The sequence below is a fragment of the Homo sapiens genome, chromosome 6 (genome assembly GCF_000001405.40).
Source record: "Homo sapiens chromosome 6, GRCh38.p14 Primary Assembly".
In the NCBI taxonomy this organism is placed as follows: Eukaryota; Metazoa; Chordata; class Mammalia; order Primates; family Hominidae; genus Homo; species Homo sapiens.
The window spans coordinates 56,099,910-56,123,856 of NC_000006.12; the positions used below are offsets into that span (position 1 = coordinate 56,099,910).

Sequence of the window (23,947 nt, forward strand, 5' to 3'; positions counted from 1 at the left end):
CACCCTGTTTCCAGTTTCTTCTCCTTTCCAATCATTCCACACACACCAGGAGCTCATACACTGCCTCTAAAACAGTTCTTTTTACTATGTTCTCTTTTTTTCTCACAAAACTTCAATGACAAATGAATAAGGTTTACTTTTCAAACTTGCAGTCAAGGTTCTCCATTTTATGGCCCTAGCCAAGTTTCTACCTTTACTTTCTAACACGCAACAGAGACCCTTCTCTGCAGATTCAGGACCTCATTAAGATCATTTCATTATTTCCTGGGCACACCTTTAACCATCTCACATATGTGTCTTCATTCAGATGAGTTCTCTCTTTCCTGTCTTCCTTTGATTCCCAGTCATCCTTTCATGAACAAATCTGGCACAAACCCTTGGTAAAATTTTTTCAAGCACCTCAATAACAGGATTACCTTCCTATACTCTTTCAGCACTTAGAATAGCCCCATGCATTTGTGCAATGTTTTTACAATTTTTAAAAATTTCCTACGTAAGCTTCACAACAACCCTATGAAGTAAGCACTATAAGCATCTACACTATTCACACTTAGAGAAAAATATTCAGGGATGTGAAGTGACTTCTCCAAGCTCATACTGCTGAAATGTAGCAGTAGTCATCTCCAAACCCTGGCTTTCTGACTCCATATGAGATTCATATTTGGCACATAATATAAAGAGTTGGTAATTATTTGCATCATTTTTTTCAGTCTTCCAAATTAAATTATAAGCTTCTGGAAGGTAATAGCATTATATAGAACTTGGCCCAGTACATAATCATACACAAGATGAAATTCAACGAAAATTTTATTAAGTAACTTTCAGAGTAGTTTAATCCCTCTACCCTATTTAAGAAGCTTTGGTGATACCTCTCTCCCTCTTATGTACAATATTTAAATTCTGAAATCTCAACTGAACACTTTGTGATAAATGTGATACAAATACACCTCAGCTATTACTTCAGTTCTTAACCTAGCTCCGCACAAGGCAAATTTCAAATTTCTTGAGGGTAGGTACCTTTGATGAATAAAATAAGATCTGCTGGTATTTAAATGTTGGCCACGAGTTGTAGGAATAAAATGTGGGGGCAAACTATATTTTTAAAACTCACCTGAAGTTCAGAATCACCTGGGACATGTGCTAAAAATGTAGATATCTAGGATTCAGATTCAGTACTTTCTTAGTCATGTTTCTCTACCCCTGATTTTTATTGAACACAAGATCCCAAAGAGTATACTATGAAACAATAGATGAGTGGTAAAGTGACATCGACTGAAGGCTCAGCAACAGACCATGATGTTTGTGTTAACCATGCATTTCTTTGGGCATGAGTGCTTGTGGTTTGTGACTCACACTGTTTGCAAAATTCTTCCTGGTTTCTAAAAGAGGATTCAACATTTCAATATTTTATGGTGTTTCACAAGCAGCTTCTACAACATCTAAAATCTGGAAGTCACTGAACAAATAATAGGGCATCTGAGAGAAGAATTTAAATAACCAAAAAGGATTTCGTAACAGGAAAAGAACTTCATCTTTTAGAACTGAAATGAGAAGGTACTCACAGGCTCTCCCCGTGTTCCATCCTGCCCCGGAGCACCAGGGGATCCTGCTTCTCCCTTTTAATGATTTGACAAAAAGAAATAGAGAATTCAGTTTTGAGGTCTGCTTACCAAAATAACAATATATAACATTACATATTAAAGAACATTAAATACAAACAGAAAAATTAAAATTACTTCTGGACTACTGATATTAACTTTTCCTGACATCAAATAACTTTTTCAGAAATTCATAAAGTGACTATATAAACAACAAAAATGTGTACATAATGGCAGATAATTAAGTTATTAAATAACTGTGGTACTGTATAGTCATTCTTATGAGAATAGACCATCTTACTTCCAAGGTAAATGTGACCAATATTCTATATCAGTCCTATTCATATATACTTTTTCATTTTTATTTTAAAATTGATCACTATGTTGGACCTAATTTGACCTTGCCTTCAAAGAGTTACATTTTAAAGTAAAAACAAAACTTTCATTAGGAATGGAGTTATTTATAGGTTATTAGTTGAAATTATCTGGCACTTTAGTATATACGTATTTAAAATAAACATCTATAATGCATATTTTAGGTAGCTGTTAAATTATAATTGCTTTTAGTGATATATACCTTTACATTACTATGCTCAGGTTAAGCATCTTATTTTACATCTACGTTTTGGAAGCTAAATTTTTTTCCTAAATGAATCAATTGCTAGTGAATACAAATGTATCTGACACTTCTTCTACTAAAACAATAAATATTAGCTGAATATAATCCTAAAATGTATAATATCTGCAGATTAGTACAACTATTAAACTATCTGAGCAAAATAAAGGATAGCAAGGAAGAGCCTGTTGACACATATACACACATGTACACACCCCAGACTTTTTGAAATCTAACAGTCATTATGAGCCATGCATTTGTTTCTGTCCAGCAAAATGCTGCATCACAACAAGCAAAGTTCTCTGCAAGCAATTTGCCACACTTGTTTCATACCAGAAAGAACATTTTATCCTAGATGAAAGCAAGATAGGAGGTAAAATAAAAGCATTTTTTCCCGTAAATGTCTCAAATACCTGAGTTGAAATAAGTTTAAGGGAGAAAGAGTCTAAGAATGCAATGCACTGAAGCATATTATAACACTGTCATCCATAATTTCATATTCTAATGAATTTCCCAAAATTATAGAAAATAAAGCACAGAAGCACCTCTAAAATTTGGCAAACATAATCAGTACTTAGAAAAAAATTCAACCATATCACATTACATAAACAACAGTTCTCCCACTTGTATGAATTCCTGCATTTTATTAGAACTGTGAAATGCCAACTAAAGCCAAATATTTCATCTATACCAGTTTTATTTATAAACACTAGTTGAGAATAGAAGGAGCAAAGATTAATGCTTTCCTGAAAATTAACCAAATTAGAGGGAGAGAAGTTACTGCTAATCCAATAGCTCTACAGAAAAGCATATAAAAATATTGGAGGAAAAAATGTTGGATCCACTTAGTTTGAAAGCTAGTTTAAAAAGCCTGAAAAATTCAAGACAAGGGATATGTTAGATCCTAATACTATGAAGAAATAATGCAATATTTTATCTGAACTTAACACTCATATCAATAGTCAGAAGGAATCTCTCCTATTAGTAGTTCTCAAATATGGTCCTCAGACCAGGCAAGATCAACTTCTTCATTTAACATGGGAACTTCTTCAGAATATAAAATTTCAGGCCATACTGCAGCATATTAAGCCAGAATCTCTGGGTGGGGGCCAGCAATCTGTGTTAATAATTCTTCCAGGTGATTCTAATGCAGCCATTTGAGAACCAGCCCTGCTATAAGTCATTAGATCATTTAACTTCTCCTACTTCCAGGTACTGTCATATGTGACTTATAAAACAATCTGTGGTTAAATTTTCTGTATTTAAAATAAAGAGGGTAAGGCACTTGCCAAATAGTAGAAACAATTAATTTGAAATTATTAGGTTGGTGCAAAAGTAATTGCAGTTTTTGCCATTAAAAGTAATGGCAAAATACATGATTAGATGACTACTTTGATTTATAAAATCATGACTACTTTGATTTATAAAATCTCTACTTTTTTCTATCTGTCCATTGACCTAATATCATTTTATTTTAATTATCAGGAGTTTTAAAAACGTAAGTAGCCATCAGCAAGGTTCATCAATAATGAAGTTCCACAATTATTTGAGGATTTAACTTATTATGTTCTTCTTACTTTATATTAGACACTTAACATATTAACTGAATAAAATATCACATTCTTTATTATCTATAGCAGTGATTCTCAAAATTTAACTTCATCTGAATCACCCGGAAGGTTTGTTAAACTGCAGATTGTGGACCCCAACCCAGAGTTCCTGATATGGTAGGTCTGGGGCAACCCCTGGAATCTGCATTTCTAATAAGTTTACAGAAGGTGCTGAGACTGCTAGTCTTGGACAACACTTTGAGAAACACTACTCTAGCCCAGATCTCAAAACAGACTTACAGACTCTTTCTGCACTTATGAATCCCTCTCTTCTATGAACTAGTATAACATTATATAGCTTTTCACTTAGCACTGAATTTTATTATGCTAAGTTGTTCAGCAGGTGTCTTGTTTATATGTGTTATTTGCTTGACTTGCACATTCTTTTAAAGGTAGAAAACATAATTTATAGGAGTTTTTTTAATCACCTACAATACTTAGACTAGTGCCAAACATAATATAAAACTACAAGTACCCTTCTTTACAATCATTGGAGTATATCAAGGAAGGAGGAACAGACTCTTTATTCTTCAATGTTCTATTTCAAAGGGATAAAGGAAATGGGAAAAACATTTGTGGATAAAGCGCTAGCATTTACTGTTGGACAATTATGCAGTTAGTTATTACAAGATAATGGCCAGTCATCTTTACCTAAGAACACTCTCTTCATTTTTTAATAATGGATTTTAATAATGTTTCATCAAGAAATGAAAGGATAATTTCTACTTGGCATTTTCCTTGAAATAATCAAATGCAAGATACAACCAGCCTGTGAAATTTAATATTGTTACCAGAACTTAACCTGATCACTTGATTACTTTTATGACCTGGATAACCTGGTGCAGGTCAGTTTGTTTGGCATTTGAAAAAGTATAAAACATGGTCTCATATCCGATTTATTGTTTTTCTATTCTGTTATTAACTCCCTTCTTGATATAACATAATTGAGAAAATGTCATGCTTAACATTATTTCTCAATCTAATTTCTACAGCTAACGTCAAAAATGATTTATTCCACAACAAGACAGTTCTTTAAAAAAAAGGAAATTTAACTAAAACCAGGCATGTGAAACTTGCATTCCATGTGTATTTCCTTTCATGCTGTGGTCTTTGGTATTTACCCCAAAAAAATAAAAGGATGGAAAGTAATTTAGTTTGCTTATAGCAATCCTCAAAATCAGGTGGAAGGTATGGTTTACTGATCATGAAAATATAGTTTAATTTTGAGGAAGATCCTTGCTTTGTTAAGGAAACACTTTATTTTGACTTTGATCTTATGGCATAGTTTATTCTTCATTTGTAAACAAATCACTAGCATGCCTGCGGATGTATTAAAGATGTAAGACTGAGGAAGCTTCTCCTAGCTGACCAAGTAAACAGACAGGACATTTGGAAGGTATCATGCACATCAGTGAGCATACGAACTAGACCTGGAACCCTCACTCTGCCATGGAACTAGCTGTGCATGTTTAACTAAATCCCGTCCTCTCTTTGAACCTGATGTTATGCATAAAATGCCATTAATACTCCAAACTTCATAGATTTGTTTTTTAGGAAAATAAAATAAGAGCCTTTGTGAAAATGCCTTATGCAACTCTTGGCACAGAAAGGGAGATCCACTGCCACCAAAAAGTTGAGGTTTTAACAATCCTTTATTCACGATGTATTTTTGGCTATATTATTTTCAAATAATATATGTTATTTCAATACTTGAACTGCTATAGTTTGTCATTATAATTTTGGCAAAATGAGTATTTTTAAACATAAAGCCAATCCTTCTTTATTCTAGTTAAGATATCATTAAAAACAGTAGGGTCAATAGTTTCATCATTATTTTCTATAACTAGGAGAGAATATTTGGGTATAACATGATTTCCAACCAGTTGGTGAGCAGAATTTTCATTGGTTGTTGTTATGGCCATGTCACCTTGGACAAGTTATTTACTCTAGTTCTTTGTTTCCTCATCTGTGAAAGGATAAATTTTTTCCACTTACAACTGATAATGATTTATGAGATTAATGAGAAAATACATGTACAGTGCTGTAAAAAGAGCCAAGCTCTTGGAAATATCCAATGAGTTACGCCTTTTGTTATAATCTCTCCTTTTCTGTCTTTGGTTCTTTGCATATCCAGCTTAAATACCACATTTAATTATTTCAACCACTTTCTAACTAAAATTCTTGTCCTTTACCTCACTCTGCATCCACCATACTGGTTTATGCAAATTCCAGTGTTGAGTAAACCAAACTGAAAATAGCCTCAGCCTATGCTTACGTTCAAAGTATGGCTACGGAGGAAAAATACTATAATAATCATACAGATTATAACTTCCAGCTTCAACTGGACTTCAATGCAACTTCTATATTTCCTTTATCTCTTCTCTGCCACATTTTTCATGTATATAGAAAGTTTCTGCTATATAAAATATTCTCCAATCAACAAAAGCTTTTTTCTCCTTCTGCCAACATTCTAAGAAAAAACAGGATACAAACATTCTGCCACCAAACCAACACACTTACCTGCATTTGCACCCATCCATTCCTTTTATTTTATTACAGTAAACAGGAGTCCTTCATTCAATCTAAGATAATTCCTTACAACTCTGTTCTATATCCCATTCTTTCCCCTTCTCTAAATAAGATGGAGCTTCTTATCTGTGTATAACTGCTTACTCAACTTCTTCCCGTGAATGTGCCACAAGAATCTAAAATCAACACATTATGTTTCTCACTCCTCCACATCCCCAGCAGAAAACACACCAAGTCCTACCCAGCACTCATTAACTAAAGAAACTTCTAACTTCATTATACATAAAAGAAGAGAGAATCTACAACTAAGAAGACCAGCAAGCTATCCAAACATGTACAACCCTGTTTATTATTACAGGTCAAAATATATACAGGATAGTTCAAATTTGAAAAGAATTGGCAGATAATATCCAAAACAGAGAACAAAAAGAAAAAAATAATAAAAACTTTTCATATTTTCCTCACACAAAAATAAACATAAAGAAAACTGAAACAAAATACTGTAACCTGGATTAACAAACATTATACAAGTTTTTTTTTTTGAGACAGAGTTTCGCTCTGTCGCCCAGGCTGGAGTGCAGTGGCGCCATCTCGGCTCACTGCAAGCTCCGCCTCCCGGGTTCACGCCATTCTCCTGCCTCAGCCTCCTCAGTAGCTGGGACTACAGGCGCCCGCCACCACGCCCGGCTAATTTTTTTGTATTTTTAGTAGAGACGGGGTTTCACCGTGTTAGCCAGGAGGGTCTCGATCTCCTAACCTCATGATCCACCCACCTCGGCCTCCGAAAGTGCTGGGATTACAGGCGTGAGCCACCGCGCCCGGCCAAGTATTTTTATTAGTTAAAAAATTCAGAATAAAAATGTATAAAAGGAAGATATGAAATAAGAATTTATTCAGGAATCAAAAAGACAAAATCATCTCAGATGAGAACGATGATTAAATTACTAGAAACCAAGGGAGAATAGATTTCACTTAAAATTATAAACGTCAATGAGGAGAAAACAAGCATAGCCAATAAAAATAGACTTTTGAAACACATTAAAGGCTCAGAAACGATAGAAGACAAATAAATTTCAATATATCTGTAATTGGAGTCCTTGAGATACAAACCAAAAAAAAGTAACAGAATTTATATTTAAAACTATAATTCAAAAGAACATTCCAGAAAAAAAAAAATCCCTGAATCTTCCTTTCTAAAGCTTTTTGGAGTAACTGGGATTTTAAATTCTGAAACATATGCTATTAGACTTTAAATGCAAAATTGTTTTTGTTTTAAACTCTCATCTTCATAGGAAAAAGAGTCACAAAGGAAAGACAATTAGATTGGCATCAGCAACACACATGTTGGCAGTGTAAGCAATATTTCTAAGAAATTCAGAAAAAAAACAGTGAAAAGTGGTGAGACAAGGGTTTTATAGGTAGCCAAGCTGTCATTCAAATAATAAAAGTGTAGAAAAACATACTAAAATATCAAGAATTCAGAATACTGTATTCACAAGCCCTTCCAAAGGAGGAAAACCTTTATTAAACCCAAATGTGACCGTGGAATATTGGTAAAGGTGCTGGTGACAAACACTGAGTATATTTAATTGCAGATCTGAAACAAAGATAAAGTGTAAAAAGTATTTTATAAATATTATATAATCTGATAAGGTAGAAATAAACAAGAAGAAAAGATTAAAGAAAAGGAGAAAATAGAATTCATTAATTTCCACATAGATAATAGGGTATAATTTAAATTTAACACAACAAAGAGTTGATGCTCAAGGTATGTAAAGGGAGAATAACAGAATTCTGAAACGGATATTTACAAGGAATAGTAAACGTAGTATAAAGACCACTAAAATAAAAATATAAATTTTCCTAAATCCCAAAGAAATTAAAAGCAGAATAGGAAAAGTCAACAAAAACACATTGAGAAAGAAATATAGTCAGTATAGCATAATTTACATAATAACAAAATTACAACGTGAGTATTTTGACAGAGATAAGACCAAACCTATCAGACAATGGGTGAAAATAGACTTAATCTATTAAAATAAAAAAATTCAGATTGCTTTAAGAAGCAAAGACCAACTCTACACTTGATACAAGAGACACAACTAAAACAAAGTGACTCAAAAAGCTAAAGCTAGACAATAGAAGGATGGGCGAAGGTGCAGCAAGCAAATAAAAATAAAAAGAAAACGTGTAATCCTGATACTGGAGAAGGTAAAATTCAAGTGAAAAATTATTAAAGGAAACAAAAAATATATTTTATAATGCTAAAGCCACAATTCAAAATGAAGATGTAGGAGTTAAAAATATCTATACAATGAATAACGTAGAAACTACATTCATGAAACAGAAGGTGAAAGAAAAAATAGACAAAAATGCACGAATAATAGGACACTAATATACCACTCTCTGTTCAAGACAGGCCAAACAAACAAAGAATTAAGTTATAGAAGATCTAAATAAGATATTCAATAAGGTAGTTCTTATGAATGTATATTGAGTTTTACACTCTGAAAATAGAGATTTACCTTCTCATATGCACAGGGAACATTCCTGAAAATTAAACATACAATAAGTCAAAGAAAAAATTCACTAAAACTTATAAAGAAGAAATTATACAAACATTCTCTGATACAGCACAATAATATCAGAAATTAGCAACAAAATCTAAATAAAAGGATTTTCACCCTAAAAAGACTTTTAACTCTTTAAACAACTTTTAGGAAACAGAGAAAAACTAGAATTACAAAATTTATTTTAAAAAAAGTTAATGAAAACATTGCATATCAGAATCAAGGGGATACAACTCAAACAAAGATGAGAAAAATATTCAGTTTAACTACTTAGATAAAAAATAACAAAAAACGAATGTAAATGAATTCAATTCTCAATTGCAAAAGCTAGAAAAAATGTAGGAAAAAAGAATAAAGAAATAAAATAGGATAAAAGTAAAAAACAAAAATTTAATGAAGTCAAAAATCAAATTACAATGTTGGATCTTTGAAAAAATCCAACACAGGAGGGAAACCAGAAACATATAAAAGTAAAAAAAAGAAAAGTAGAGAGTGAAAGCATATGTATTCAAAGTAAGAAATGATGACCAAGGGAGAATAATCATTAAAACAGAGAAAACTTTTTAAAAATCATGAGAGGAACTTGCACAATTTTATACAAGTCACTTGAAAAATATAGATGAAATAATAGTTCCCTAGGAGAGTGAAGCTTATTATTATTGACCCTATGAGAGAAAGAATGCTTAAACAGACAAATTCCCATGGAAAAAAATAAGAGAAAGTTATCCAAGAACAAAAAGAACCAGGCTCAAATGACAGAGGGGAAGAGTAGGAAATATTCTGCAGTGCTTGATTTCAATTGTAAAGTATCAATAAGAAATTATCATTACAAAATAATATCAGGAATGAAATAAAGGACATTACTAAAAACCTACAGACATTAAAAGGACAAGAATAAGGCAATATTGTAAACAAAATATGCCAAGAAATTTGCAAGTTAAATGATATGGACAAATTCACTGAAAGGTACAAATTGCTGAAGGTTGCTCAAGAAGAAAGATAAAATCTAAATAGGTGTATTATTAATTAAAATGTTCCTTAGACACACAACACACCTGCAAAGCTCAGGCCCAGAGGGTTTCACTGGTGAATTCTACCAAACATATAAAGAAGAAATGACACTAACACTACACAAATGCTTTTAGAAAAGAAAAGCCAGTATTGTTTTGATATTAAAGCTGGACAAAAATATCACGAAAAAGAAAACTGCTGATCAAAATCATCCATGAACATAGACACAAATAATATGAAATAAAACATTTGCAAATTGAATCCAGTAATGTATAAAAAGAATATTATAAGATAACCAATTGTGGTTTATCCCAATAATGCAAAATTAGTGTAACATACAAAAATCAATGTTGTATATTAAGAAAATATGAGAGGAAAATTATATAATCAAGTCAGTGAAGGCAGAAAAAGCTTTTTTTTTTTTTTTTTGCAAAATTCAACATCTAATCATGATATTTTAAAAGAAAACTCTCAATAGACTGGGAATAAAAGGGAATTTTCTCATCCTGATGCAGGGCTTTTATGTAAAACCAACAACTAACATTCAATGTTAAAAGACTGATGGTTTCTACCTAAGGTCAGAAGCAAGGCAAAAATATGTGCTTTTATCCCTTCTATTTGTTATTGTATTGAGGGCTTGTTTAGTGAATAAAACTATTAAAATAAATAAATTTCATATAAATTAGTATAGAAGAAGAAAACTGTCTTTATTTGTAGTCAATATAATCATCTATGTAGAAAAACCTGAGAAATCAACAAAAAAAGTTGCAGGAACTAATAAGTGAATTTAATAAGACTGTAGGATATACAATCAATATACCAAAACTAACAATATTTCCATATGCTAGCAACAAACTGAAAAATTTTTCAAAGTCTATTTATGAGTATGAAGAAATACAATAAAATACTTAGATATGAACTTAACAGAAGACTTACAAGATCTGAAAACTATGAAACTTTGCTGAGATAAAATAAAGAAAACTCACATAAGTGAAACAATATACCATGTTCATGGATTGAAAAATTCAATATTGTTAAGATGGCAACTCTCCCCAAATAAATTTAGAGACATGAAGATGCTCTTCCCTCTAAGATTTGGAGCTTAAGTCTACACCCCACCTTGAGTAGGGCTTGAATTTGGTGACTTGCTTCCAAAGAACAGAATATGGGATGAAAAAGTAGTAAGAAAGCTTGTAAATACTATAAAACAGGTGATCATCATTAATATCACCAATGAATTTTCATCTGGGTAGCATGTACATTCTGATTTGATAAAAAGGACACTTGAACCCTCTGTTATCCTTTTCCAAAAAAAAAAAAAACTATAATCTGAATCTAATCATGAGGAAAGCATGAAACAAACTCAAACTGAGTGATATTCTACAAAATACCTGGTCAATACTCTTCAAAACCATCAAAGTCATGACAGACAAGAAATGACTCATAAGCTATCACAGATCAGTGGGAAATAGGAAGGCATGACAAATAAATGTAATGTGGTATCCTGGACTGGATCCTGGCACAGAAAAATTACATTAGTAGAAAAACTAATGAAACCCAAATAAAGTATGGAGTCCAGTTGACAGTAATGTGCCAATATTGGTTTCTTAGTTTTGACAAATATACCATAGTAATATAAAATGTTAACTTCAACAGAAGTTGGATAAAGGGTATGAGGAATTCTCTACTATATTTGCAACTTTTCTGCAATCTACAATTATTCCACACTAAAAACTTTGGCCAGGCATGGTGGCTCATGCCTGTAATCCCAGCACTTTGGGAATCTGAGGTGGGTGAATCACCTGAGGTCAGTAGTTTGAGACCAGCCTGGCCAACATGGTGAAATCCCATCTCTACTAAAAATACAAAAAAAAAAAAAAATCAGCCATGCATGGTGGCAGGTGCCTGTAATCCCAGCTACTCAGGAGGCTAAGGCAGGAGAATGGCTTGAACCTGGAAGGCAGAGGTTGCAGTAAGCCAAGATCGTGCCATTGCACTTCAGCCTGGGTGTCAAGGGTGAGACTCTGTCTCAAAAAAAAAAGAAAAAGAAAAAACTTTAACACATCCCACAGGCTCTCTTGGTAAAAATTTTAAAACTGATACTAAAAATAATATGGAATTTATGTAAATCTATAATATCATTATGATTTCTAAAAAAAAAAAATTAGAGGATTTACACCACACAATTTCAAGGTTTATTTTAAAGCTATAATAATTAAGACTGCGTTGTTGAGGAAAGAATATGGGTATAAATTAGTGGAATGGAATTGAGAATCTAAAAATAGTTTCCCACATATTGATCAATTCATATTTGGCAAAAGTTCTAATGTAATTCAAAGGGAAATGAAAGTCTTCAATAAATGGTGCTAGAATAACTGAATCTCCCTATGGGAAAAAAATGAGACCTGATTTTTATCTCATACCATACATATAAATTAATTCAAAATAAATCAGGAGGGAGGCAAGCAAGATGGAGTAGAAAGCTCCACCGATTGTCACCCCCTCCCAGCAAGAACACCAAGTTAACAATTATCTACAAAGAAAAAACACTTTCAAAGAACCAAAAATCAGGTGAGCACTCACAGTACCTGGTTTTAACTCCATATTGCTGAAAGAGGCACTGAAGAGAGAGAAAAAACAATCCTGAATTACCGATGCCACCCCTCCCCCTTCCCCAGCAGAGGCAGCATGGAGTGGAAAGCATTTCTGGGTGCTAATGAAGGGAGAACACAACAATTGTGAACCACTGAAACCAGTGCTCTCCTGTTAAAGCAGAAAGGAAAACCAGACCAAACTCAACTGATGCCTGCCCACAGAAGAAGTTTTTTTTTCTTTTCTTTTTTCTTTTTTTTTTTTTTGAGACGGAGTTTCGCTCTTGTTAGCCAGGCTGGAGTGCAATGGCGTGATTCCGGCTCACTGCAACCTCCGCCTCCCAGGTTCAACCGATTCTCCTGCCTCAGCCTCCCAAGTAGCTGGGATTAGAGGCATGCACCACCATGCCCCGCTAATTTTGTATTTTTAGTAGAGATGGGGTTTCTCCATGTTGGTCAGGCTGGTCTCAAACTCCTGACCTCAGGTGATCTGCCCGCCTTGCCCTCCCAAAGTGCTGGGATTACAGGCATGAGTCACGGCGCTAGGCCCAGAGGAAGCATTTAAACCAGCCCCAGCCAAAGGAGAATTACCCATCCCAGTGGTCTGAACTTGAGTGCCTGTAAACCTCACCACCAAGGGCCAAAGCGCTTCAGTCTCCAAGTAAACTTGAAAGGGAGCCTAGGCCATAATGTCTGCAACTCATAAAAGAATCCTAGTGCTGAACTAGGCCCACAGACAGTAGACTGGGGAGGCACACAACATACTGAGACCCACATTGGGGCAGCCAAGAGAGTGTTGACAGCATCCTTCTCCTAACCCCAGACTGCAAAGCTCATGGATCCAAAAGAGACCCCTTCCTTCTATAATCCTTGAGGAGAGGAGAGGAAAGAGTGAAGAGGACTTTGTCTTGTATCTTGAATACCAGCTCAGCCACAGCAGGATAGGGTACTGGCCAGAGTCAAGAGGCCCCCTTTCCAGGCCTTAGCTCATTTCTAGACATTTCTGACATTTCTAGACACACCCTGGGCCAGAAGTAAACCCACTGCCTTGAAGGAAAGGATGCAGTCCTGCCAGCATTCATCACCTGTTAACTGAAGAGCCCTTGGGCCCTGAATAACTAGCAGCGATACCTACGTACTACACCAAGGGCCTTGGTGAACCTCTGAGACTTGTTGGCTTCATGTGAGACTCAGCCTTAAGCTGTGGTGGCTATGGGGTAAAACTCCTTCTGCTTGAGACAAGCAAAGGGAAAATTAAAGGAAACTCTGTATTACACCTTAGGTACCAACACTGCCACGGGGAAGTAGAGCACCAAGCAGAGTCTTGAGGTCTCCAATTCCAGGACTCGACTCTTAGACAGCATTTCTGGACCTGCCTTGGGCCACAGGGGATCCCACTGCCCTAAAGAGTGAGTCCCAGGCCAGGCAGCATTCACCATAAGCTGACTTATGAGACCTTGGGGCTCAAAGAAACGTCAGTGGTCATCTGGCAGTACTCCTCATGGCTAGGGGTGGTGGTGGATATGAGGTGAGGCTCCTCTGCCTTTGAAAGGAGAGAAAAAAGTGAGAAGGACTGCGTCTTGTGGTTTAAGTGCCAGCTCTGCTGCAACACAACAGTATACCAGGTAGACATCTAAGGCTTTTGACTCTAGTCCCTAACTCCAAGATGGAACTTCTGGACCCATTTGGGGGTTGGTGGACCTCACCATCCTGAAGGGAAAGACATAGGCCTGGCTGGCTTTGCCACCTGCTGATTGTAGGGTCATAGGGCCTTGAACGAACATAGGCAGCAGCCAGAGAGTGGTCAGAGCAGACACTGGGTGAGACCCAGTGCTGTGCTGGCTTCAGATCTGACCCAGAGCATAGTGGTGGTGGTTACAGGGGTGCTTGTATCACTCCATCCCCAGCTTTAGGTGTATCAGAACAGAGACAATGTGTTTGCTCTTGCTTTTCTAGTTCTTTTAATTGTGATGTTAGGGTGTCAATTTTGGATCTTTCCTGCTTTCTCTTGTGGGCATTTAGAACTCAAACAAATTTACAAGATAAAAACAAACAACCCCATCAAAAAGTGGGCGAAGGACATGAACAGACACTTCTCAAAAGAAGACATTTATGCAACCAAAAAACACATGAAAAAATGCTCATCATCACTGGCCATCAGAGAAATGCAAATCAAAACCACAATGAGATACCATCTCACACCAGTTAGAATGGCAAACATTAAAAAGTCAGGAAACAACAGGTGCTGGAGAGGATGTGGAGAAATAGGAACACTTTTACACTGTTGGTGGGACTGTAAACTAGTTCAACCATTGTGGAAGTCAGTGTGGCGATTCCTCAGGGATCTAGAACTGGAAATACCATTTGACCCAGCCATCCCATTACTGGGTATATACCCAAAGGACTATAAATCATGCTGCTATAAAGACACATGCACACGTATGTTTATTGTGGCATTATTCACAATAGCAAAGACTTGGAACCAACCCAAATGTCCAACAATGATAGACTGGATTAAGAAAATGTGGCACATATACACCATGGAATACTATGCAGCCATAAAAAATGATGAGTTCATGTCATGGAAATCATCATTCTCAGTAAACTATCGCAAGAACAAAAAACCAAACACCGCATATTCTCACTCATAGGTGGGAATTGAACAATGAGATCACATGGACACAGGAAGGGGAATATCACACTCTGGGGACTGTTGTGGGGTGGGGGGAGGGATAGCATTGGGAGATATACCTAATGCTAGATGACGAGTTAGTGGGTGCAGCGCACCAGCATGGCACACGTATACATATGTAACTAACCTGCACAATGTGCACATGTACCCTAAAACTTAAAGTATAATAATAAAGAAAAAAAAAAAAAAGAACAGAGACAAAGATTCTGTATGTTTGGGAGAAAGTAAGGGAAGAGAAAAAGAATCTCTGCCTGGTAATCCAGAGAATTCTCCCAGACTTTGTTCAAGACAATCAAGTTGGTACCTCTACAAGTCTGCAAGAACCACAATGTTACTGGGCTTGGGGTGTACCCTAAAGCAGAAACAGCTTAGATCACAACACCCAAGTCCTTTCAGATAACTGGAAAAGCTTCCCAAGAAGGATGACTACAAATAAGCCCAGACAGTGAACACTACAATAAAGACCTAACTCTTCAATGCCCAGACACTGAAGAACATCTACTAGCATCAACACCATTCAGGAAAACATGACCTCACCAAATCAACTAAGTAAGACACCAGGAATCAATTCTAGAGAAATAGAAATATGTAACCTTTAAGACAAAGAATTCAAAATAGGTGTGTTGAGAAAACTGTAAAAAATTCAAGATATGCAGAGAAGGAATTCAGAATTATATTAGATAAATTTCACAAAGAAATTGAAATAATTACAAAGAAACAAAGCAGAAATTCTGGAGCTGAAAAATGCAATTAGCATACTGAACAATGTATCAGAGTCCTTTAATAGCAGAATGAATCAAGCAGAAGAAGTAATTGATGAGCTTGAAGATAGACTTTGGAAATAAACAGTCAGAGGAGACAAATAATAATAAATGATAGAGTATGCCTACAGGATCTAGAAAATAGTCTCAAAGGGCAAATCTAAGAGTTATTGGCCTTAAAGATGAGGTAGAGAAAGAGATAGGAGGTAGAAACTTTATTCAAAGGGTTAACAGAGAACTTCCCAAACCTAGAGAAAGATATCAATATCCAAGTACTTGAAGGCTATAGAACACCAAGCAGATTTAACCCAAAGACTACCTGAAGACATTTAATAATCAAACTCTACAAGGTCAAGGATAAAGAAAGGATCCTAGAAGCAGCAAACGACAAAAATAAATAAATAACATACAATGGAGCTCCAATATGTCTGGTAGCAGACTTTTCAGTGGAAGGCTTACAGGCCAGGAGAGAGTAGCATGATGCATGACATTTTTTAAGTGCCAAAGGTAAAAAAAAAAAAAAAAAAAAAAAAAAAACTTTACCCTAGTATAGTATATCCACAAAAATATCCTTCAACATGAAGGAGAAAGACAGGCTTTCCCAGACAAACAATAGATGAGTGATTTCATCAATACCAGACCTACCATACAAGAAATGCTAAAGGCAGTACTTTAAACAGAAAGAAAAGAACATTAATGAGCTATAAATAATCACCTGAAGGTAAAAAACTTACTGGTAATAATAAGCACACAGAAAAACACGGAATATTATACACTGTTACTGTGGTGTGTAAATTCCTCTTATCCTAAATAGAAAGACTAAATAATGAACCAATCAAAAATAATAACTATAACAACTTTAAAAAACATAATCAGTACAATAAAATATAAATTGAAACAATAAAAAGTTAAAAACCAGGGGCACAAAGTTAAGGCAAGTTTTTATTAGTTTTCTTTTTGCTTGTTTGTTTGTTTATGCAAATAGCATTAAGTTGTTATCAGTTTAAAATAATGGGTTATAAAATAATATCTGTAAGGCTCATAAATACATACAATGAATACACAAAAAATAAAAAGCAAGAAACTAAGTTATATCACCAGAGAAAATCATCTTCACTAGAGGACAATAGGAATGAAAGAAAGAAGGAAGGAAAGACCAAAATACAACCAGAAAACAAATAACAACATAACAGGAGTAGGTCCTTACTTATAAATAATAACATTTAATGTAAACAAACTGAACTCTCCAATCAAAACACATAGACTGGCTGACTGGATGAAAAAACAATACCCATTGATCTATTGCCTACAGTAAACACACTTCACCTATAAAGACACACATAGACTAAAAATAAAGGGATGGAAAAAGATACTCCATGCCAACAGAAACCAAAAAAGAACAGGACTAGCTATATTTATGTCAGACACAATGGCTTTCAAGTCAAAAACTAAGAGAAAAGGGTCTCTATACAATGATAAAGGGGTTAATTCAGCAGAGGATATAACAATTTTAAATGCACCTAACACCCAAGCATCCAGATATAGCAAGGAAATATTATTAGAGCTAAAGAGAGTGATAGACCCCAATACAATAATAGCTGGAGACTTCATCATTCCATTTTCAGCATTGGACAGATTTTCCAGATAGAAAATCAACAAAGAAACATTAGACTTAATCTGCACTACAGACCAAACGAATCAAATAGATATTTACTGAACATTTTATCCAAGAGCTGCAGAATATAAATTCTTTTCTTAGCATGTGGATTATTCTCGAAGACAGACCATAGGTTAGGTCACAAAACAAGTCTTCAAACATTCCAAAAATGGAATAATATCAAGCATCTTCTCTGACGATAATATAATAAAGCTAAAAATCAATAACAAGAGGTATTTTGGAAACTATACAAACACATGGAAATTAAACAATATGCTCCTGAATGCCCAGTGAGTCAATGAAGAAATTAAGAAGAAAATTGAAAAAATTCTTGAAGCAAGTAATCATGGAAACACAGCATACCAAAATCTATGGGATACAGCAAAAACAGTAGTAAGATGGAAGTTTATAGCTCTAAGTATCTACATCAAAAAAGAGAAAAAAACTTCAAATAAGCAATCTAACAATTCATCTTAAAGAATTAGAAAAGCAAGGCAAACCAAACCCAAAATTAGTAGAAGAAAAGAAATAATAAAGATCAGAGCAGAAATCAATGAAATTGAAATTCAAAAGCACAAAGATCAATGAAACAAAAAGTTGTTTTTTTTGAAAAGACAAACAAAATTGACAAATTTTTAGCCAGTGTAACCGAGAAAATAAAAAAGGATACCCAAATAAAATACAGTCAGAAATGAGAAAGGAGATATTATAAATGATACTGCAGAAATTCAAAGGATCATTAGTGGCTACTATGAGCAACTATATGCCAATAAATTGGAAAATATACATGAAATGGACAAACTCCTAGATACATACAACCTACTGAGATTAAACCAGGAAGAAATCCAAAACCTGAAAGGACCAATAACAAGTAACAAGATGCAAACTGTCATAAAAAGTCTTCCAGTAAAGAAAAGCCTGGGACCTGATGGCTTCACTGCTGGATTTGACCCAACATTTAAAGAACTAATACCAATCCTACTCAAACTATTCTGAAAAATAGAGGAAGAAGGAATACTTCCAAACTCTTTCTATGAGGCCAGTATTACCCTGACACCAAACCAGACAAAAACATACCACAAAACAAAACTACAGGCCAATATCTCTGATGAATATTGATGCAAAAATCTTCAACAAAATACTAACAAACCAAATTCAACAATATATTAGAAAGATCATTCATCACAACAACCAAGTGGGATTCATCGCTGGGATAAAAGAATGGTTAAATGTATGCAAATCAATCAAAATGATACATCATATAAACAGAATGACAGATAACCATATGATCATTTCAATTGATGCTGACAAAGCATTTGATAAAATTAAATATCTCTTCATGATAAAAACCCTCAAAAAAGTAGATATAGAAGGAACATACCTCAACATAATAAAGGCCATCTATGACAAACCCACAGCTAGCATCATACTGAATGGGGACAAAAAAATAAAAGCCTTTCCTGTAAGATCTGAAACATGACAGGGTGTCCACTGTCACCACTCTTATTCAACATAGTACTGGAAGTCCTAGCTAGAGAAATCAGACAAGAGAAAGTTATAAAGGGCATCCAAATTGGAAAGGGAGAAGTAAAATTATCCTTGTTTGCTGATGATATAATCTTTTATTTAGAAAAACCTAAAGACTCCACCAACAAACTATTAAACTGATAAATTTGGTAAAGTTGCAGGATACAAAGTCAACATACAAAAATCAGTAGCATCTCTATATGCCAATGGTGAACAATCTGAAAAAGAAATTTAAAAAGTAATCCCATTTACAATAGTCACAAATAAAATTAAATATCTAAGAATTGAAAGATCTCTACAATGAAAGTTATAAAACACTAATGAAAGAAATTGAAGAGGACACCAAAAAATAAAAAAATATTTCATGTTCATGGGTTTGAAGAATCAATATTGTTTAAATGTCCATAATACCAAAGGAATTTACAGATTCAATGAACTTCCTATCAAAATACCAATGACATTCTTCAGAAACATACAAAAACCAATCCTATAATTTATATGGAATCACCAAAGACCCAGAATGGCCAAAGCTATCCTAAGCATAAGGAATAAAAGTGGAGGAATTACATTACCCGACATCAAATTATAGTACAGACCTATATTAACCAAAACAACATGGTACTGGCATACAAACAGATACAAAGACCAATGAAACAGAACAGAGAACCCAGAAACAAATCTACATACCTACAGTGAACTCATTTTTGACAAAGATTCCGAGAACATACACTAGGGAAAAGACAGTTTCTTCAAGAAATGGTGCTAGGAACACTGGATGTTCCTATGCAGAACAATGAAACTAGACCCCTATCTCCTGGCATACACAAAAATCAAATCAAAATTGACTAAAGACTTAAATCTAAGACCTCAAACTATGAAACTACTACAGAAAAACATTGGGGGAAATCTCCAGGACATTGATCTCAGAAAAGATTTCTTGAGCAATACCTTACAACCATAGGTAACCCAAGTAAACATGGACAAATCATGTTGAAAAGCTTCTGCACAGAAAAGTATACAATCAACAAAGTGAAGAGATAGTCCATGAAATTCAAGAAAATATTTGCGAACTACCCATCTGACAAGAGATTAGTAACCAGAAAATACAAAAATTTCAAAGGACTCTGTAGAAAAAAAATCCAATAATCTTATCAAAAGATGGGCAAAATATTTGAATAGACATTACTCAAAAGAAGACATACAAATGGCAAACAGGCATATGAAAAGATGTTCATCATTGATACTCAAAGAAATGCAAATCAAAACTAAAATGAGATATCATCTTACTCCAGTTAAAATGGCTTTTATCCAAAAGGCAAACAATAACAAATGCTGGTGAGGATGTGGAGAAAAGGGAACACTTGTACACTGTTGGTGGGAATGTAAATTAGTACAACCACTGTGAAGGACAGTTTGAAGATTCCTCAAAAAACCTGAAAATGGGTTAGGCGCAGTGGCTCATGCCTGTAATCCCAGAACTTTTGGGAGGCCAAGGAGGGTGGATCGCCTGAGGTCAGGAATTCGAGAACAGCCTTGCCAACATGCCGAAATGTCTCTACTAAAAATACAAAAATTAGCCGGGCATCATGGCAGTTGCCTGTAATCCCTGCTACTTGGGAAGCTGAGGCAGGAGAATTGCTTGAACCCAGGAGGCAGAGGTTGCAGTGAGCTGAGATCATGCCATTGCACTCCAGCCTGGGCAACAAGAGCAAAACTCTGTCTCAATTTAAAAAAAAAAAAAAAAAACTAAAAATGGAGCTACCATATGATCCAGCAATCCCACTGCTGGGTATGTACCCAAAAGAAGAAAGGAAATCAGCATATTAAAGGGATATCTGCACTTCTGTGTTTCTGGCAGCACTTACAATGGCTAAGATTTGGAAGTCACCTAAGTATCCATCAACAGATGAATGAAGAAAATGTGGCACATACACACAATGGAGTACTATTCAGCCATAAAAATCAATGAGATCCAGTCATTTGCAACAACATGGATCAAACTAGAGATCATTATGCTAAGTGAAATAAGCCAGGAACAGAAAGACAAACATCACATGTTCTCATGTATTTGTAGGAACTAATAATCAAAATAACTGAACTCATGGCATAGAGGGTAGAAGGATGGTTACAGAGGCTGGGGAGGGTAGCCATCAAACTATGAAAAGACATGGGGGAACTTTAAATGCATATTCTTAAGAGCAAGAAGCCAATCTGAAAAGGCTACATAATGTATCATTCCAACTATATGATATGCTGAAAAAGGAAAAACCCTGGAGAGAGTAAAAAGATCAATGGTTGTGAGTAGTTGAAGAGAAGAAAGGATCAAAAGGTAGAGCCCACAGGATTTTTAAGGGAGTGAAACTATTCTCTGTGATACTACAAGGTTATTTTGTCATATGTATATATATATACATATACATATATATGTATATTCATATGTGTATATATATATACATATACATATATATGTATATTCATATGTATATGTGTATATATATATATGTATATGTATATATATACATATGTATATATTTGTCAAGTGTACAATACCAAGAATTAACTCTAACATAAACTATGAACCTTGGGTAATAGTGATGTGTCAATTGTAACAAATGTACTACTCTGGTGGAGATGTTGATCATGGGAGAGCCTGTGTACAGGGTTGGGAAGTGGCAGGGGATGTGTGGGAATATGCTGCACTTTCCATTCAATTTTGCTATAAACCTAAAACTGTTGTTAAAAATAAAGTAATTTAAACAAAAAAAGTAAATAGCTTTTTTTTTCAATTCATGAATGTTTCCATTAAAAATTTACAAACAGACAAGACAGAAAAACTTCATTGTTTTTAGGAGACCCATGCTAATGAGAAAATAGGAGACATAACCAAGGTCAAATATGAAGGGTAGTATGAACCTATAAGGAAGGCAAATATCAAGAGTGAACTGACCTCAAAATGTTGAACCAAGTGATATATTCCTACAATAAAATACTATTAGCATTAAAAAGGAATGAAGTACTACCGATACAAGCCAAAGCATGAATGACCCACAAAAATGTCATGGTAATTGAAAGAACAAAAGGCCATATATTACATCTTTCCATTTACATGAAATGTCCAGAATACACAAATCTGCACAAATCTGCAGAGACAGAAAACAGAGTAATAGTTGCCAAGGGTTTAATGTACGGGTAGTAGCTTGTTGAGAAATGGGGAGAGACCACTACATGGGCATGCGGTTTCTTTTTTTTTTTTTTCTTTGAGATGGAGTCTGGCTGTGTTGCCCAGGCTGGCGTGCAGTGGCGCCATCTCGGCTCACTGCAAGCTCCGCCTCCTGGGATCATGCCATTCTCCTGCCTCAGCCTCCCGAGTAGCTGGGACTACAGGCGTCCACCACCACACCCAGCTAATTTTTTTGTATTTTTAATAGGGCATGGTGTTTCTTTATGGGATAATGAAAATGTTCTAAAAATTGACTCTAATGAGGTTTCATAACTCTGTAAATACACAAAAACTATTGAATTCTACACATTAAATGGGTGAATTTTATGGTATTTCAATTATATAGCAATATAGCTGCTAGAAAACAGTGAACTGATGTTTACATTTGCAGGTACATGAATGCACATACTACCCAGATTAAGACTAAAAAGGAATCTTAAAGCTGTGTTCAAATCAGGAAATGAATAAAAGAACTAATTCCTTATTTAACACTTATTTTTTGCCAGGAACTGTGCTGGGTGATTTGTCTTACTCAAGTCCCTTTCATACCATTCTAGATAGGTAACATTTACTCTATTTTCGAAATAGAAACTGTCAAAATATTTGCCAGAGAACATACAGCTAGTTAGAGAAAGTCATTGCAAGCTGGAAATCCAACTCCATTCTATTCTCTAAGCTCTCCTGCCTCCCAAAAAGAATAGTCCCATTTCTTGGGGTATATGGATTTATGCTAACAGAGGACAAAATATTAATTAAAATGAATGCTTAGGTTGCAGGCAAAGATAAAGTCTGTGTTCTCTCACATAGTCTAGATTATAAACTGTGTAAGAGTAGAAGCCATGATGGCTTTATTCTCCTCTATATGTCTAGTTTCTAATAAATATCAATAAAATCTGTTCAATTAAATAAGTGAGAAAATATGAAACCACTGAAGCATAATTAACAAGAAGGAACCAATGACTTTAAAATGGGCTCCCATATTTTATAGTCAGGTTACTACTGTCTTAGGAAGTGTTGCCTCAAAGTATACTCTTCGAAGAATCATGGATATTTGAAAAACTTTCATAGCACTTGAAGTAAATAAATGAATAATTTTTCCTTTGGAAAACACCTACAGACCAAGAAAATTTGAACTGAATTTCTGAGCAACTTTGGGATTCAAAGAACTGACCGTTAGAAAACAAGATAACATCCCTATGTCCAATGATTGACCAAATGGCCTCTTCAGCTCTGATGGCTTATACAAATCTTCTCCTTAGGTATCCAAATCAGCTAACTCCTAACTTTAAGAATATGATGGTGCTAATGGACCACCCCAAGGGCATGTGCCCTTGAGTTTTTTCATAGACAATGAATTATTGACACTTTGCAGTTCCCCACTTACTCTAATGCTCTCATGCCCATACCACACAACTGATAAAGAAGCCGGGGTTAAGAAGACAGTTTCCCAGCCCACTGAAACCTCAATCTTTGGGAGACACAGAAAAGAACCTCTGTTTCTAACCTGCCAAATAAACCAATCTGAAGGGTTTATTGAAGAAGTTCAACCTTGTAATATCCTATGA

General features: G+C 34.8%; 1 protein-coding gene across 12 annotated transcripts in view; it reads right to left on the reverse strand.

Annotated features, from left to right (window-relative positions):
* COL21A1 (collagen type XXI alpha 1 chain) overlaps nt 1–23,947 on the reverse strand; it is a 337,539-nt gene that overhangs the window by 43,320 nt on the left and 270,272 nt on the right. For 10 of the 12 annotated variants that reach the window (NR_134849.2, NM_001318752.2, XM_011514924.3 and 7 more), the window contains one exon: nt 1,563–1,616. Coding sequence is in view for 9 of the 12 variants with exons in the window: in NM_001318752.2 (NP_001305681.1) it covers nt 1,563–1,616 (54 nt within the window). In the remaining 3 variants the exon portion in view is untranslated. Of the gene's footprint in view, nt 1–1,562; nt 1,617–8,878; nt 8,904–23,947 lie in introns of all 12 variants that reach the window. The other 2 variants (NR_134850.2, NR_134851.2) reach the window with 1 other exon arrangement.